At 41.4% G+C, this 16,076-nt stretch overlaps 1 pseudogene, besides 1 other annotated feature; it reads right to left on the bottom strand.

Annotated features, from left to right (window-relative positions):
• Positions 1-125, bottom strand: RNU6ATAC5P (RNA, U6atac small nuclear 5, pseudogene; annotated as a pseudogene).
• Positions 14,410-15,305: an enhancer, noted in NCBI's record as "H3K27ac-H3K4me1 hESC enhancer chr4:73877285-73878180 (GRCh37/hg19 assembly coordinates)". NCBI's record gives its function as "activates a minimal SCP1, AML or CMV promoter by ChIP-STARR-seq in primed H9 embryonic stem cells {active_cell/tissue: H9 hESC(primed)}" and the evidence as "EXISTENCE:reporter gene assay evidence [ECO:0000049][PMID:30033119]".

Genomic DNA, 16,076 nt, shown 5'->3' with positions numbered 1-16,076 from the left:
AAAAACGATGGTTGGATGCCACGAAGTAGGTGGCAATGCCTTAACCATATGCATGTTGTCAGGCCCAAGGGCCTCTTCCATCCTTGTCAAGGGGAGTGCTAACCTTCTCTCCTTTTGTACAACACTAGCTAGTAATTTTAAAAGAGCCTCAGCTGTTCCTTTTGCCACCCAGATAATCTGCACTAGTCCAGTGTGCAGCCAGAGGCTGGCTAATGTTCCCTCTGCTGTCAATGCTCACCGGCAACACTTGATGAGCAACATCTGGTGTCTTGTGTCTTCTTCCATGCTTCCTTTCTCTACCACCTTATATAACATTTCTATAATTTTGTGAAATAATTAGAAGTCTCTTTGGCCTCTCTTGTTAGGTGATAAAATGCTTGGTATAAAATTTCTCAATATTCTTTAGTCTTGCTTTAAGCTCACCAATCCATTGTGCATCAAGGCAAATGCATTTTCGGCATTTAACTTACATATCACATTGAAGATAGAGGTAGTAAATTTCCATAACCATTTTCTGTTTTATACTTTCTGATACATTTTATTCTTGCTCCATATTCTTACTCTCCACATTCTGCAGTTTAAATTTCTCCCACTTGGGAACCAGTTTTCACTCCTAACAAAGGTCTTTAGTTTTTTCTACCTAGTATTATTCAATGTAGGCAACAATACCTTTTCCCCTGATCATCACAGGGCATCACATTGGTTCTGATGCAGCCATTGTATGTGGTCAAGTTTTGCCCTACCAGCTCTGATGGGTCTTCCCTTTATAGAAGTGATCCAGACTTAAAACAATTATTGGACAAATAATTTATCCAATAATAGGGCTCTACATGCCACTGTCTGTATATTGTAGGGAAGCTCAATAAAGGAACTGACCTGTTGTGTTTGAAGAAGGCATGGTTCCAGTCTTCTTAACTGGCTGTAATGAGAAGATCACAAAATGATTTATACTGTTTCTCTCTCTTTCTGTCTGGATATCCTAAACCTCAAAACCACTTTCTCCTGGACCCACTTTTCTTGTTACCATCTTGTGACTAGTTAGGCTTCCATGATGGACTGTCCCTTAACTTAGTTTCAAATGTACTGGACACTCTGTTAGATACCTCTGGGAACACCCCAAGTAGGAGCCCCCAAATATAGCTTGGTGACTCTACCTCTTAACTTGGAGGTAGAAGGCTGTGGCAATCAGTAAGAGACACAGTAAAAGAAAGTTGGGCATTTTGTTCCAACACAAGTTGTTTTCCACTAGAAAACTTTAGACCTCTGCTGTTAATTGTTGGGGGAAAGCCCTACACTCTTTCTCAGCTGGAAAAACACACAACGCAGCTGCAAAGAAAGTCCATTCAGTTCTTACTTCAGGTTTGAGCTATCATTTAACTCATAATATCCATAAGGGGGTGAGAATTTAGGAAGGGCTTCCTTTACTCCCCATCTTATTCTCCACTCACGTGGGTCGGCTTTCATTTATAAACTCTCACGGGGCCCACATGGCCATCCCCTTCATCACAGAGCACCTCTTCTGGACTCTCCTCCTTGAGCCCTCCCACCATCCCTTGATCTTCTTAACTCCTCTTTTTCTCATCCTAATCCCAGTCTACTTTGTTGCAGGGGTCTCTGGAATAATTGTCCTTTTCTGTTCCCCAAGAATTCTGCTATTGGATAGGTCCAGAAGATAGGAAAGGAGGATAAAAGTGGTACTCTGAACTGAGAGTAGAAAAATCTTTTAAAAAGCTCAGGTATTGTAAAGGTTTATCTCCTGCTAACACATTCCTCTTCTTTGGTATCTCATTATGTTCAAAGACTGTCTTCTACTCATGATAGAAATCCTGTTTCTGTCACCTTAGATGTGGAAGCTTTCAGCCTCCAGGAAGGTAGGAATGAAAGAGGAAGAAAAACTCATCTCACCCATGTTAAAAAAAAATCACGTGGTAAATGTTAACTCTCTCAATTTCCTGACACCAATTTACAAACTTTATTCATATCCACTGTCTTTCCCCCCTGTTTCTCTCCTGGCACTATTCTATTGTCCAGTATGCTTCTCCTCCATCATTCAACACTCTTGAAATCTATATATGCCCAGTATTCCATGTCATTCTATCTCTCTTCTCTCATCTTTCTTCTAGTCCCAATTTAAGACAATTTAGGTTGTCTATACTAGCTGTCTCCACTCTCTCATTCTTTATTTCCTTCCACTTTCCATCAGTTTGACTTTGGAGCTGTGCTCTAGGTCACTCATTTGCCCATCAGCTGTGTCTATTCTTCAGCTCTGTCCACTTAGTTCTTCTACTCAGTTTTATTTCAGTTATAATATTTTTGTTTTAATTATTTCAAGCACTTCCTTTTTTGTTATATGATGTCCTTTTTAATGCTTGTGAAGATATTAATTATATTTCTTTTAAAGTCACTTTCAGTTTGCTGTATTTATTGTATTTCCTTAGGAAGTAGATCTTCTGTATATTTAGATGGATGCTCATATATCAAGGTGTTGGTTGTGCTGAACTATTTGGTGATTCTTGGTTGTGCTTTTGTCTTTGGTTTAACTTTCTCTGCTAGCATCTGTTATTGTAGCAGCCTGCAGTACCTGTGGGGAAAGGACGTGATGTGAGATGGAAGGACCCGCAAGTCTCCTTGTATAGGGAGGTGCTCCTTGTTCCTCTTGGGTGTACCTGGCCATCCAGGACACTGCTTTTTCTCTGCATTGCCCCGCCCCACCCTGCCCACACCCACCCAAGGGTTTCCATTCATTTTTCTTGTAGGGAACAGAGGATTCTGTGGCTATTCTTTGTCATAACCAGGATAAAGTGGTTGAATGGCCTCCAAAGCAGCCTGACCCTTGCCCTTGTTTCTGCCTACCTCCATGTCCACCAAACCCCCAAGTGTAGAGTGCCCTCAGAATTGTTCCCACCTCTTATCAAACTCCTTTTCTGAGTATGTCTTTGTCATCATTTCTATTGCATTGATGATGCCCCTCCTTGTCATCCAATGTTGTTATAGATTTATCCCTTAAAAAAAAATCTTCGGCCGGGCATGGTGGCTCATGCCTATAATCCCAGAACTTTGGGAAGCCAAGGCAGTAGGATCCCTTGAGCAACTTCCCAACCACTCTATGTCTGAACTATTTTTTCCAGGCCTTTTCACATGCCTAGGAACACTGCTTCTCTCTCTGCTTTAATCATCCGTCAGCTGAGGTATCACTCTTCTGGGAACTTTCCCTTGTCCCACACATGCGTGTTGAGTGGTGTGCAGCCATAGCTCTTGCACGATTCTACATGGCATGTATGATGCTGTTTTGTAACTGCCTGTGGATGTGCATCATCATTAGCACCTGCCCAATGTGGGGTGCAGGGTTTTACCCCTTAGGGCTAACACATAAAATGTGTTTAGTAGGTTCTTAAATCAATAAAATAATAATATTAATAACATAGTATCTATCACATACCTGTTGAACTGTACTTGTGTCAGCCCCTGTGCCGAATGCTTCTCATGCTTTAGCTCATTTCCTTCTTGCTTATTGGCTATTATAACCCCCAATTGACAAATGAGGACACTGAGTCTTAATGAGGTTAAATATCGTGCTCAAGGATACATAGTAAACAGTAATAAGGAACTCAGTCTGAATTTGCGCCCAAGTCTCTGATTTTAGCTAGATATTACTGAGTCCTAAAATGGAGAAGGAGGGAGGGAGGCTGGTGGCTGCAGAGGTTTATTAATCAAATTTGTGAGGGAATAGTAGATGGGATATATGGATCCCAGACATTTACTTATGGTTATTTTACAGTAACTTAAACCAAAGCATCTGAGTTGGTGAAAGTCACATTGAGAAAACTGACACCACCAGGTTTCTTCAAATATTGAAGGATCTACTTTTACCAGATCCCATAGCCAGAGAGTAATAAAGATGGGGCAAGAACCTAGGACTCTAGTGTCTCTAGCCAACATGATTTCTGCCAAGCTGAGCTGAATTCTAAATTAAGTTGCTCATATATTAGAAGTCCAGGTATTTGTCAAACATAGTCCTGAGCTGTGGATTCAGTTATGTGCAGGAAGCTCATAGCTACTTATTATTTTCAACTCTCCCTTAACTTTCCATGGTGATTTGTAATACCTTGAGTATACACAAGCCTTGGAATCTCAGAACTCTTTTTATTTACTCCAGCTAATGTTACGAAGATTAGATGTGCAGAAGATTAATTTGAAACATCATGCAGATATTTTGTTATTGCTGAGAGATAAAGCTGGCACATAAAGGTGGAACCTTCTGGAAACAAACTTCTTGTCCTTCACTGATAGCAGTTGGAACTGGCAGCATTTAATGTTACTTATTGCAGACATATTTTCTTTCTTTCTTTTTTGTTTTGAGATGGAGTCTTGCTCTGTCTCCCAGGCTGGAGTGCAGTGGCACAATCTCAGCTCAGTGCAACCTCAACCTCCCAGGCTCAAGTGATTCTCCTGACTAGCCTCCCAAGTAGCTGGGATTACAGGTGCGCCACCACAACCAGCTAATTTTTTGTATTTTCAGTGGAGACAGGGTTTCACCATGTTGGCCAGGCTGGTGTTGAACCACTGGCCTGAAGTGATCCACCCACCTTGGCCTCCCAAAGTGCTGAGATTATAGACGTGAGCCACCACGCTCAGCCTGCAGACATATTTTCATTGTCAAAATGGAATGTTATCTTTTTAGTTAAGGCTTACCTGGGATTTTTGTAGTTCTAGTTTATCTACTGACTCTCCAAAGTAGAACTATACCTTAATGTTATGCGTCTTTCTTGCTGTATAGGCAGCAAGTGGAATCACAAAGGTGTTAACAAATGAGATAGTGAGACAGATAAGTCTAATTATTTGACAGAATATGTATATTTGCATGTCTCCTTTTCATTTGGTCTTGCTCTGTTGCCCTGGAAGCTGAGAGATGGGAGTACTTTATTTGATTAACTAATTTTCAAGTCTGTGACTAGAGAGAGAACTCAACTGGATTTTGAACTGACTTATATGAGTTCCCTGAAATGAGAGTTAGAGATGATTAATGCCTCTAGGTGGTGCCTGTGACCTACATATGGAGAGGCAGCGGTAGGACACTGTAGAGAATAGCCTGATTTTTTTTTTCTTTTTTTTTTTTTTTTTTTTGGTATATGATTTTAACTTCCCAATTTCTATGAGAGAGGCAGTGTTAAAGACCAAAATAGTGAATTTGGGGGTCTGTACTTATTCATTTCTCATTTTTTTTCAATTTCCTTTGTTTTCTCCCTCCTTGGGCAGATAATTCAGAAAATTGACACAAGAGGGTAAAACCTCAGGGGGAAATTTAGCATTTTTAAAACTTATGACTAGCAGTTTATGTTTTTAGAAGTGATGAAACAACTGTTTCATGTACATATCAGCATATAATATTTGTGTAATAAGCAGACACAGAAGTCATTCTGTTAGAATTCTAATATCTTTCTCTGGATGCCTATACATAGCAAGTCTGTCCCTCTACCTTTTAGCTCAAGAGTATAAAGAATCTCTACTGTTTTTAGTTTGTCAAGTTTAATTTGATCACTCAAGTGTTTTTTTCCAAGTTGGCATCATGTGGGGTTGGAACCAAGGTGCATGTCCTTGTATTAGGCTAAAAAGCAGTGCTGGAAGGACCTTGAGAGATCAGCAAGTACAGGAATTTTGAGATCTGTGGTTTTCATGATCAATAACATTTCAATCACAAAGAGTCTAATTACATCTTGAATTAAGAGTCACTAAGCAAAGCACACATAAATCACACGGTCTGTAATTAACAGAGCCTGCAGTGAGGCCCTGGTCAACCTGTCTCTGGATTCCAACCTGCTCAGCTCTCCTCTCTCAGTAAGTTTCAGTAGCTCTTCAGTAATTTCATAGACTAAAAATCTGTGGGTCAGTTTAAGGTTGGTGATGTTTTTTACATGGTGAGACATTCAAGCCACCCTTCAAATCCAAACCATCAGTCACACCACCAGTGCTTCATAAAAAGGAATATTTGGCCGGGTGCGGTAGCTCACACCTGTAATCCCAGCACTTTGGGAGGCCGAGGCAGGTGGATCACCTGAGGTCAGGAGTTCAAGACCAGCCTGGCCAACATGATGAAACCCCGTCTCTACTAAAAACACAAAAAATTAGCTGGGCAGGGTGGTGGGCACCTGCAATCCCAGCTACTTGGAAGGCTGAGGCAGGAAAATCTCTTGAACCTCAGAGGCGGAGGTTGCAGTGAGCCGAGGTCACCTGCCATTGCACTCCAGCCTGGGCAACAAGAGTGTAACTCTGTCTCAAACAAAGGAATATTTGAGCACCAAATAGGTAAGAAATATTTAATCTCAGAATCGATGATAATCTTTTAATTTAGTAACTTCACTTTAGGTAAAACTCTATATTGTTCATCTCACCAAGGACAAATGAACTCTCTTAGTTTGCTGGTGTCCCACAAGCAAGGAGCAGAGAACTGAGTTCTTATTGGGTTCGATAGGTAGAAACTATGATAGTTCTAGTTTCTTCTCTCTTTTCAGTTGTTGCTAGTGAAGGATACACACAAAAACTAAGAGGCAGAATGCAATAGGCAGAAAATAGATTATTCCATAATGAAATTTTCAATTCTCCATCAGTATGGCATTTTAATTTTCTGAAAAATCTATTTTGTTTCTGAACCTTATTTAGAAATGTACCAGTAGTTATTCAAGGAAAAGAATAATGTTTACTGCTCCATGGCAGAAATTATGCTCGATGTTTTGCATACTTATTTAATCTTCACTACAACTCAGAAGCAGCCTCAAGGAAAATTAGTTTTTTTGCCTAAGTCTCACAGTGACGAGTGAGGTCCATATGCCTGCTTTCCATACCACTGATTTTCTTGATGTTTTGTTTGTTTTTTTTAGCCCACAACTAACATCATATGATTTTCATGATGTTTAGTATTTTCCTTAGAAATATGTAATAGCATTTTCTTACCATCTGGAATTAACCATATTATTGCCTATATCTACAAATTCTCCTGAGTTCATTTTACCATAGCTGTGGTGAAAGGAGGGGCTTTTTGGAAGCACCAAGCAAGTATTAGTGGAGGGGAAGAAATGGAAAAGAGCTACATTTGCTGGCCGATCAATGTAGGGGTAGTGTAGAAGAATTCAAGCCAATGATAACATTTCTTCTTTTGGAACCATTTCCCATGAAAAAAATAGTTAAAATTCCCCAAGAAACCAATCTTCACTAATATCACCACCAGGGGGCAATCAACACTGTCAGATTGTGGTGGTTCCAAATGCAGTAAAAATACAGCACCACCGGTTTTTTGTAATTATACCTTTTCTCTTTTTCCATTTTTTCTTTCCCAGAATAATGGGTACACTAGGCAGATATTTTGTTCTTTAATGTATCTCGACTTTGAATGCTTTTATAAGATTACATGGAAAATAAATAATTCTTGTATGATGTTTAACCATATATTATGTACGAAGGATTGATTGAACTTGCTAGTAACCGTGACCATTTCCTTTTAGGATAACTTTTCTAGAACCTTCCATGAAGATGATGCTGTAGGATAAATATGCCACTAGAATGCTCCCTGCCTCCCATCTCCAGTTCTCTCATTTTATTCAGTTCTAGTGTATTGTGAATTTCTTTCCCATTAATGAAAATTTTCTGGCCCCTTGGTTTTCAGATAATTTTCTTCTAAACTCTTACATAGGGAATTCCCTCTTACATAGGGAATTTTAGTGTCAATTCCCTATACCCCACTTAGTCCTGTACGACTTAACACCATTCACTTTTCAAGTGTTTCTTTATTTCTTTCACAACCGTAAAAGCTCCAGGGAGGACAATCAATTGAAAACTTTCTCCCCAGGCCACAATAGTCTAGGGTTGAAACTGGGGTCTCGATGACAATAATAAAACATATTTTCAGGTTCTTTCCTCACTCAATTTGTGAGAACTACAGGTCCCCCAGGTTTTTTCAAACTAATTCTGTGAGTCCGCCTTGGTTTTCTTCCATGCGCTGGTCCATCAGTCTGCGTGGCTGTCAGGATGGGTCAGTGCTTCCCTTTGCCCCAGCAGTGAGGCAGGTGGGGCTCCTGCTGGACAGCTGGCTCCTGCCAGTGCTGTCACCACCACCAGGGCTGCCCATCAATCTGGTTCCTCCCCAGCGCCTTCTGCAGAGGTAGCCTCTTCGACCTCACTCCTCAGGCCTCTGCACCGCAAAGGTGATCCAAAAAGGAGAATTATTAATCCTCTCTTGTGCTGTGTTCTATAGCATGACACCATGCAATATGAACTTGTGGTCATAAAATCTTACAGAATTTAGAAAAGTAGGAATTTTACTGTTGTGCACCTTTTATTTATCTTTTCCACCTTACAAACTATGTTTTAAATATTTTCTGATTTACAAAATCATTTCAAAGCCCTCAATGAGAAATTTTATAATACAAAAATGTTTCTCTGTGCCTGTTGTGGTGTAAGTATACGTGTACATGTGTATGCCTATGTGCATGTGTGTACACTTGATCTTAGGCACAAGCCTGAGATTTTGTGCATGTGTCTACACAAGATGTTTTGCTTTTACCAAACAGCATGTTATTGTGTAATTTAAATAATTTATTTGGTAAAAGCCTGTGTCTGCAAAATACAAACTCTTTCTGTTAAACATCCAAATCAAAATGGCTTGGGTACCAATCTGACAAAGAAGCACACAGTGCAGGCTTTTCCCTGGTTTCTTTGTTCCAAGTATCCTGAACACCTACACTCATACCTCAACTAATTCTTGTTGCTCTCCTCTGGCTGCCTTCTCAAACTTGAATGTAGCCCTGAGGGTCACAGGCTGCATCTCTTAACTCCCAGGAGAGTTCAGCCTTGGACTCAGTTACCCCTGGGCACTTTCTTCACTATGATGTCACAGCTGTTAGGGAAGTTCCTAATACCCTGCTTGCTGTTGTCCTTGCTCCTGGTAAAAATATCTATGGATCTGCAATTTGAGGTTTGAAGGAGATATTTCTCAGCATGATGCTTAGTTGAAGTGTCCACAGCAACATTGTCTGGTCCATGTAGACAACTTTTGATTCATGTATTTACTCATTGACTCCCTCATTTTTTCTTTCATTCAGGGAAAATATTCATTGAGTACTACATGCCAGGAACAATGCTAAGAGCTGCACAGAACTTTACTTCATGGTGTCACAGGGCCTGGGTGTGAGGAGCTGAGATAAAACAGGTTCCAGCATTAGATGTATGCTGATCCTGAAACCTGCATTCCCTTCAATGCCTAAGGCCCTGGATCTCAGTTCTGGTGATCGGCAGCCTAGTCTTTCTTATTTGGGTTTCCTTGTGGGACATAACGTTTTTGTTTATGTCTGCTTTGGCTTGGATATATCCACCCTCTCCCACACTAGTGAATCAGACAGATTTTTAAATCTTTAGATTCTCAAAATTATGGGCCATTTCATTTCTTATCAGGAGGCACCATTTACTGTGTATACATTTATATAAGCAGATGGTACTACTCAGCTCCACCAAATAGACCTAAGCTCTAAATGCAACTACTTTGTTGAAAAAGGTGACAATTCTTTTACCTATAGAATCTGAGCCCCCGTTCAGCTGTAATATCCTATAATAACTATGTATATAATTTGGAATTCTTCCCTCCTCCTCCTCGACCCCTTCATATTCTCAAACTTTATATATATAATAAATGCTAGCATATATCATTAAATATTCATTGAAAAAGATCTTTAATACCCACATAATCATCCATTATGTGAATGCACCATAAATTATTTCACCATATTACTGGATAATTTGTTTTTTTAAAATACATTTTTGTTGTTATATGAAATGCTATGATGAGAAATCTTGGATATAAATGTCAGCCTACATTTGATTATTTCTTTAGGAATAATTTCTAGGAGTAGAATTACTGGCTTTTATTAAACATGACTTTTTTTTTACAGCAACTTATGAGAAGCTATTCCACCATATCTTTGTTAACAAAAGTTTTAGCATTTATAATTTTGAAATGATAGATGCATTGTTTTAATTTACACTTTTGTAATTACCATTAAGACTGAACATTTTAGTATGTTTGTTGGGTTTTGTGTTTCTGTTAATTTCAATGCTTTTTATATTTATTTATAATCTTCCTTTATATGATCAACATAATGGCCTTTTGTTATATGTGTGCCAAGATCTTTTTCTTCATTGTGTAGTTTTTCAATTTTGGTTATAATATTTTAGCTATGTACAAACTTAAAACTTTTATGCACTCAAATCTTTTCATGTTTTTCTTTGTTATTTTCTAGCACTATCATTCATATTCAAGTAGCAGCAAAATATTTATATATATTTTCCTGTTTAATTGTTTTATCCAAAAACTATTTTAGGGACCTGTAAAGTTTAATATACTTTATAAAATAGCTTCAGCTGGGTGAGGTGGCTCACGCTTGTAATCCCAGCACTTTGGGAGGCCAAGGCAGGCAGATCACAAGGTCAGGAGATCGAGACCATCCTGGCTAACACGGCGAAACCCCGTCTCTACTAAAAATACAAAAAAAGTTAGCCAGGCATTGTGGCGGGTGCCTGTAGTCCCAGCTACTCGGGAGGCTGAGGCAGGAGAATGGCATGAACCCAGGAGGCAGAGCTTGCAGTGAGCCAAGATTGAGCCACTGCACTCCAGCCTGGGCAACAGAGCAAGACTCCGATTCAAAAATAAATACATACATAAATAAATAAAATAAATAATTAAAAAATAAATACAATAGCTTTTTTTTTCTCCCAAAAGTTTGTCAGTTTATCTTACATCCTTTGTTAACTAATGCTCGACTTTCTCCATTGTTTTATGATGTTGGCTATTTATATACTAGGTTATTCTATGAACTATGGTTATTTTGGGCTTGTCTATATTGTTTTATTATTCTGCCTGCCCCTAGACCAGTATAAAATTGACTTAATTACTGTGATTTCGAAATAAATGTTAATATTTGGTGAAGCAAGACAACTTTATTACTGCATTAAAAATATTTTATTATCTTTTCTAATTCCAAAATAAACTTGGAATAATTTTATCTAGTTGGGATTTTTCATTACATCATTAAACCAATATTGGTGGAGTCCTTCTGTGTGCCAGACATTCATTATTCCAGGTGCTGGGGAGTGAATGAGATGTCACTGTGTACAAGGCAGGTGGTCATTGCTCTCATGGGGTCCACATTCTCTTTGAAGAGACAGACAAGAGACAAAAACAGGAATGGATATACAGTGCAATGTCAGGTAGTGATAGGTGTGACAAAGAGAAAAAGTAGGGTACAGAAAGAAAATGAGGAGTATGATACTAATGATGTCCAATAATGTTTCTTTGAAGAGGTGGCCTTTGAATAAAGTAGCAGAGTGGGTGGGAAGGAATAGCTACAGGTGGAGGGAACACAGGTACAGAAGTCTTAATGTGGTAGAGAGCCTGGTGTTCTGGAGGAAGAGTGGGAAGGCCCTGTGGTTGGAGGCAGTAGGGGGTGAGTAGGTGATGAGGGCAGAGATGTAGTCGGCAGCTGGGGGCCAGACAATGCTGGATTCTGTAGGTCCTGAAAAATAATTTGGATTTTAGTCAGGTATTTTGATGAAAGTTGTGAAAATTTTATGAATTAATTTGGGAAAAAATGAAGAAAATATGTGTCTCTGAACATGTTTTGTTCTCTTTTACTCCCTTTCTCCTTCTTCTTTACATTTTATACCTTTTTCTCCTTCTTCTTTACATTTTATAGTAAAAAAAAAAAAAAGTGTCTTGTAGCCGGGCATGGTGGCTCACGCCTGTAATACCAGCACTTTGGGGGCCTAAAGTGGGAGGATCACCTGAGGTCAGGAGTTTGAGACCAGGTTGGTTTCGAGACATGGCAAAACCCAGTCTCTACTGAAAGTACAAAAATTAGCCAGGCATGGTAGCATGTGCCTGTAATCCCAGCTACTTGGGAGGCTGAGGCAGGAGAATTGCTTGAACCCGGGAGGCAGATGTTGCAGTGAGCTGAGACCGTGCTGTTGCACTTCAGCCTGGGCAAAAAGAGTGAAACTCTGTCTCAGGGAAAAAAAAAAAAAGTGTGTTTTTTTTTATATAGGTCCTTCACATTTTGTTTTTGGGTTATTTCTAGGAATTCTGTATATTTCTAGGAATTCTATATATGTGTAATGTTATTGTTAATGGAATATCTATTCTATTGTATTTTCTAACATATTTTATGATATAGAAGAAAGTGTGGATGTTTATGTATCTTACATTTGAATACTAAAATTGAAGAGATTTTCAATTAAATCTTTACGACTTTTGAGTAAACAATTTTAATTGTTTCCAATATAATATTGGAATATTCCAATATTGTCTTCCAATATAATGACAATTTGTCCTCTCCATTTGCATAGCTCTATCAGATCAAGAATGATTTTGGATATCTTCACTTATTTTTTGCTTATGGAAATCACTCTAAAGATTTACATGTAATGTCATTATTTTAGAATATTTATTTACTTGCATACTAAAAGAATTTTCTCTAGTTCTGGTTTTTGAAAGTTATTTACTTTTTCCTAATGAATAGATTATTAATTTTCAAATTCATTTTAGTATCTTTTGAGATAATTATATGGTTTTTGTCCTTTGACTTATTTATAGTATTAAGCAATTATTGCACTCCTGAAATCAATCCTACTTGATTATGGAAATGTTTGCTTCAGTCGGCTGCTTAATTTGCTCTATTCTTATTTTATTTTGTCCTTTCAAATTTACATTAGTAAGGTTGATTTACAGCTTTTGTATTTTGGACACTTTTTGGTCACTTTTGCTATTTTTGGTTATGCTAACTTCATAAAATGAACTGAATTGCTTCCCAGTAAAACTGTCTGGTTCTAAATCTTTTATTTGAGAAAATTAGTTGATAACTTTCAATTTCTTTCAATTTTATCAAACTTTTCATGTTTGATATTTTTCTTGAGTCAGTTTTGATTATCGATATTTTCTTGTTAATGTTTTATTTCATTGAGATTTTGAAATTCATTAGCATAAACATGTATGTAGTAATTATCTAATTTCAGAAAAATTTCCATTTCTTATTTTTCATTGTAAGGTTCTTCCTATCCCTGGGGCTTAAAAATGCGACCATAGAGGCAGGATTGAAAGACTACTTAAGAGATTGACGCTGGGCTCTACTCATTTGCCTGACTCTCATCATCTACAAACAAATATGTGATGTGTGAAAGGGTAGATTTTTAGTCACAAATTAAGTTATTATAGAAAAGTAGGTAGTTGACATCATCAGCTGTTTATAGATGATGGCTTCTGTCTGCTGCTTGTGACATAGCTTGCTCTTCTTTAGAAATAATGACTTCTTTTCCAGGCAGCTCTCTAGTTCCTCCTATAAATAACACCCTGATGGGTCTGTCCAGCCTGCAGGTCTCCAAACAATCCCAAGTATGTGTGAGTTTTAAAGTGTTATCTTTTTCATCAATATGGCACCAAATTGTGAAAAGGCCAGTGGGTAGAAACTTAAGGAGGTCGGATTTGGACTCAAAATAAGGAAGAATTTTTAATAAATTTTGTCCCAAGCTTGAATGGGATTCTTTACATGGTGGCCACCCCATCAATGGCGGTATCCAAAAATTGACTGAGTGTTCACTTAGTGAAAGTTTTTGAAAATATTCAGGGTATTGAGGGAAACAAGTCAACAGTGTAGTAGTCTCATTCTATTCCAAGTCTATCATTATGCTTTTCTTGAATCTCCCACAGTGCACAGTACTATGTCTTGTCACTGAGTGAACAAGCAGTCAAACGTAGTCTTATGGGATCACTTTTCTGGCTGGAAACCTCTGTGGCTGGTAGCACCTTTGCCCAAGTTTTGCTAGGGCCCACTGGGCTCGTTCCACCCACTTGGCCTGGCAGGCTGCACTTAGCTCACGCTACCTCCCTGGATTCCATGGCTCCAAGGGAGACTGTGAATCAGGTGTGGAGTGGCGAGGGGTGTGTGAGTGAATGTGGGGTATGGCCACTGTGCAGAGACACACCAGCTGCTGCCATTGGGTGGGCCACTCCAGGTGCTGGCATGGGCGCTAGCTCTCTGTGAGGCTGTGGCTGGACCAGGTGCAGCATAAGTTGCTTCCCCAGCTGGCACCAGGGTATGTGATGGTGCCTGGAAGCTTGGAGATACCAGGAAATGCAGGGCCCCAAAAAGGGAGTCACAGCCCTGACTTGGGGGAACTCCCAGGTCTGGGCTCTCCAAAGGGCTGCAGCTTTCCTCTTCTTCTCTTTGCCTGCAACATGGCAAGCAAGGGGCATGTTTCAGCCCTGTTCGTGTTACAGCTCTTTTAGTCTCACCATTCAGTGGGCCCCAAGTTCTTGTCCTGCAACCAGGAAGAATGAAGTACACAGAGAAGTGAAGGGTAAGCAAGACAAAGAGGAGCTTTATTGAGCAGTAGAACAGCTCAGAGGAGACCTGCAGTGGGCAGCTTCACTCTGTAGTCAGGGTGTCCAGATGAGTGTTCAGCTCTTAGCAGAGAGGGTAGTTCCTCTCTGCAGTTGGTCATCCCTCTGTCTCCTGAGCTCTCAGCAGAGGGGAGACCCTGGGATGGGCAGCTCCTTTCTGCATCTGGTCTCCCCATTGTCTCTTTCCTCAAGCCTGGCTGAGTCTGGGGTTTTTATGGGCCTCAGAGTGGAGGAAGTTGTGCTGATTGTTCCATGGGTGGCCATAGGTGGGCCCAGGGAAAAGCACCACAAGTTCCCCCTCTAGTCCAGGGGACTGGTGGCTGGGCCCCCAGGCTTCAGGCCCTCCCCAGCTTGAAGGTGGGGCTTCACCAGACTGGTCCCCTCCACCCAGAACCCTGTCTGCCTCCTCCCACAGCTCATGGAACCCAGGCTGTTTGTGCCAGGGCGTGCCTGCAGGCCAGCACCTGACTATCCTCAGCCCCTCCTCAACCTCCCTCCCTTACTTGTCAGCACCCCAAATCCGGAGGGGCCAAGAGGTGGCAGGAGGCTGGCATGTCAACATTGCTCTGAGTGTGTTCCCCCGCTGCCGTTGGGCTGTGACAGCACCTGGGCTCGGCCCTGATCTTGTTCCAAGATTGGAGCAGGAGCCAACAGCAGGGAGAAGCCAGGCAGCAGCAGCAGGCACCCTTGAGCCCACAGGAGACAGGGCTGCCTTTGTGGGCTCCCAAGAGTGCAAAGATACATGGATCCACAGCCTTGGCAGGGTGGCCACAGCTGCACCCAGGGAGTTCTTGCCCTGCCAACTCAGAAGGGGTGGGACTCCCATTTGTCCCTGGCTCCCACTGGCTTTGTGGAGCATGCAGCCCTGCCCACACCTCCTTGCAGTTTGGGGCAGGGGCTCCAGGTTCTCCCTGCACCCTGGCCATCATCTGGGGCAGGGGAGACATTGCTGTGAGTTCTTCCCATGGCCAGGTGCTCAGGGGTGGCCCAGGGCTCTCCCTCCCTTGGCTCCTGGCCCTGCCTGGGGAGAGACTCCAGGAGTGGATTGTGGGCCCCAGTCTTGGCCATCAGGAGGGTCAGGCTCTGCAGTCACTGTGATGTGGGGCAGACCCTAGGCATGTGGCCCTGGGCTACCCCACATACAGCATCCTCCCTAGGTGCAGGAACCTGGCACTGTTGTTGGGGTGGGCATGGTGGCTGGTCTGCTGGCCAGGTCCTTGAAGTGGGTGTGGCGCCCATTTCCTGGCCTGACCCCTGAAGCATGGCCCCAGCTCTGTGCCCTGGGCCAGCTGCCATGTTCCTTGTGCAGGTGCAGTACCACCACGGGTCCAGCTTTGTCTCGAGGCCCCTCTCTGCCCACCACTTTGTGCCTGACCATGCTGCTCCCTAGCTGGTAGGTGACTTGACCTCACCCCACTGCAGCAGCCCCCAGGGTGGTGGGCTCCTGGGAGCTTCCAGGGGAGGGCTCAGGGGACTGTTCACTTCTCTCCATGCCCTACCTGCAATGGCAATGGGCGAGAGTGGTGATGTGGGGCCAGGGTCTGGAGCAGCAGTGAATCTGGGCCTGGGGCCAGGTCATGCCTGGCTGTGTGAGATTGGGGGTGGCACAGTCAGCTGCCTCAGGGATATGGGGCACAGGGTA

This window comes from Homo sapiens, chromosome 4, assembly GCF_000001405.40.
Source record: "Homo sapiens chromosome 4, GRCh38.p14 Primary Assembly".
NCBI classification, from domain to species: domain Eukaryota; kingdom Metazoa; phylum Chordata; class Mammalia; order Primates; family Hominidae; genus Homo; species Homo sapiens.
This window is presented reverse-complemented; position numbering and strand designations above follow the sequence as displayed.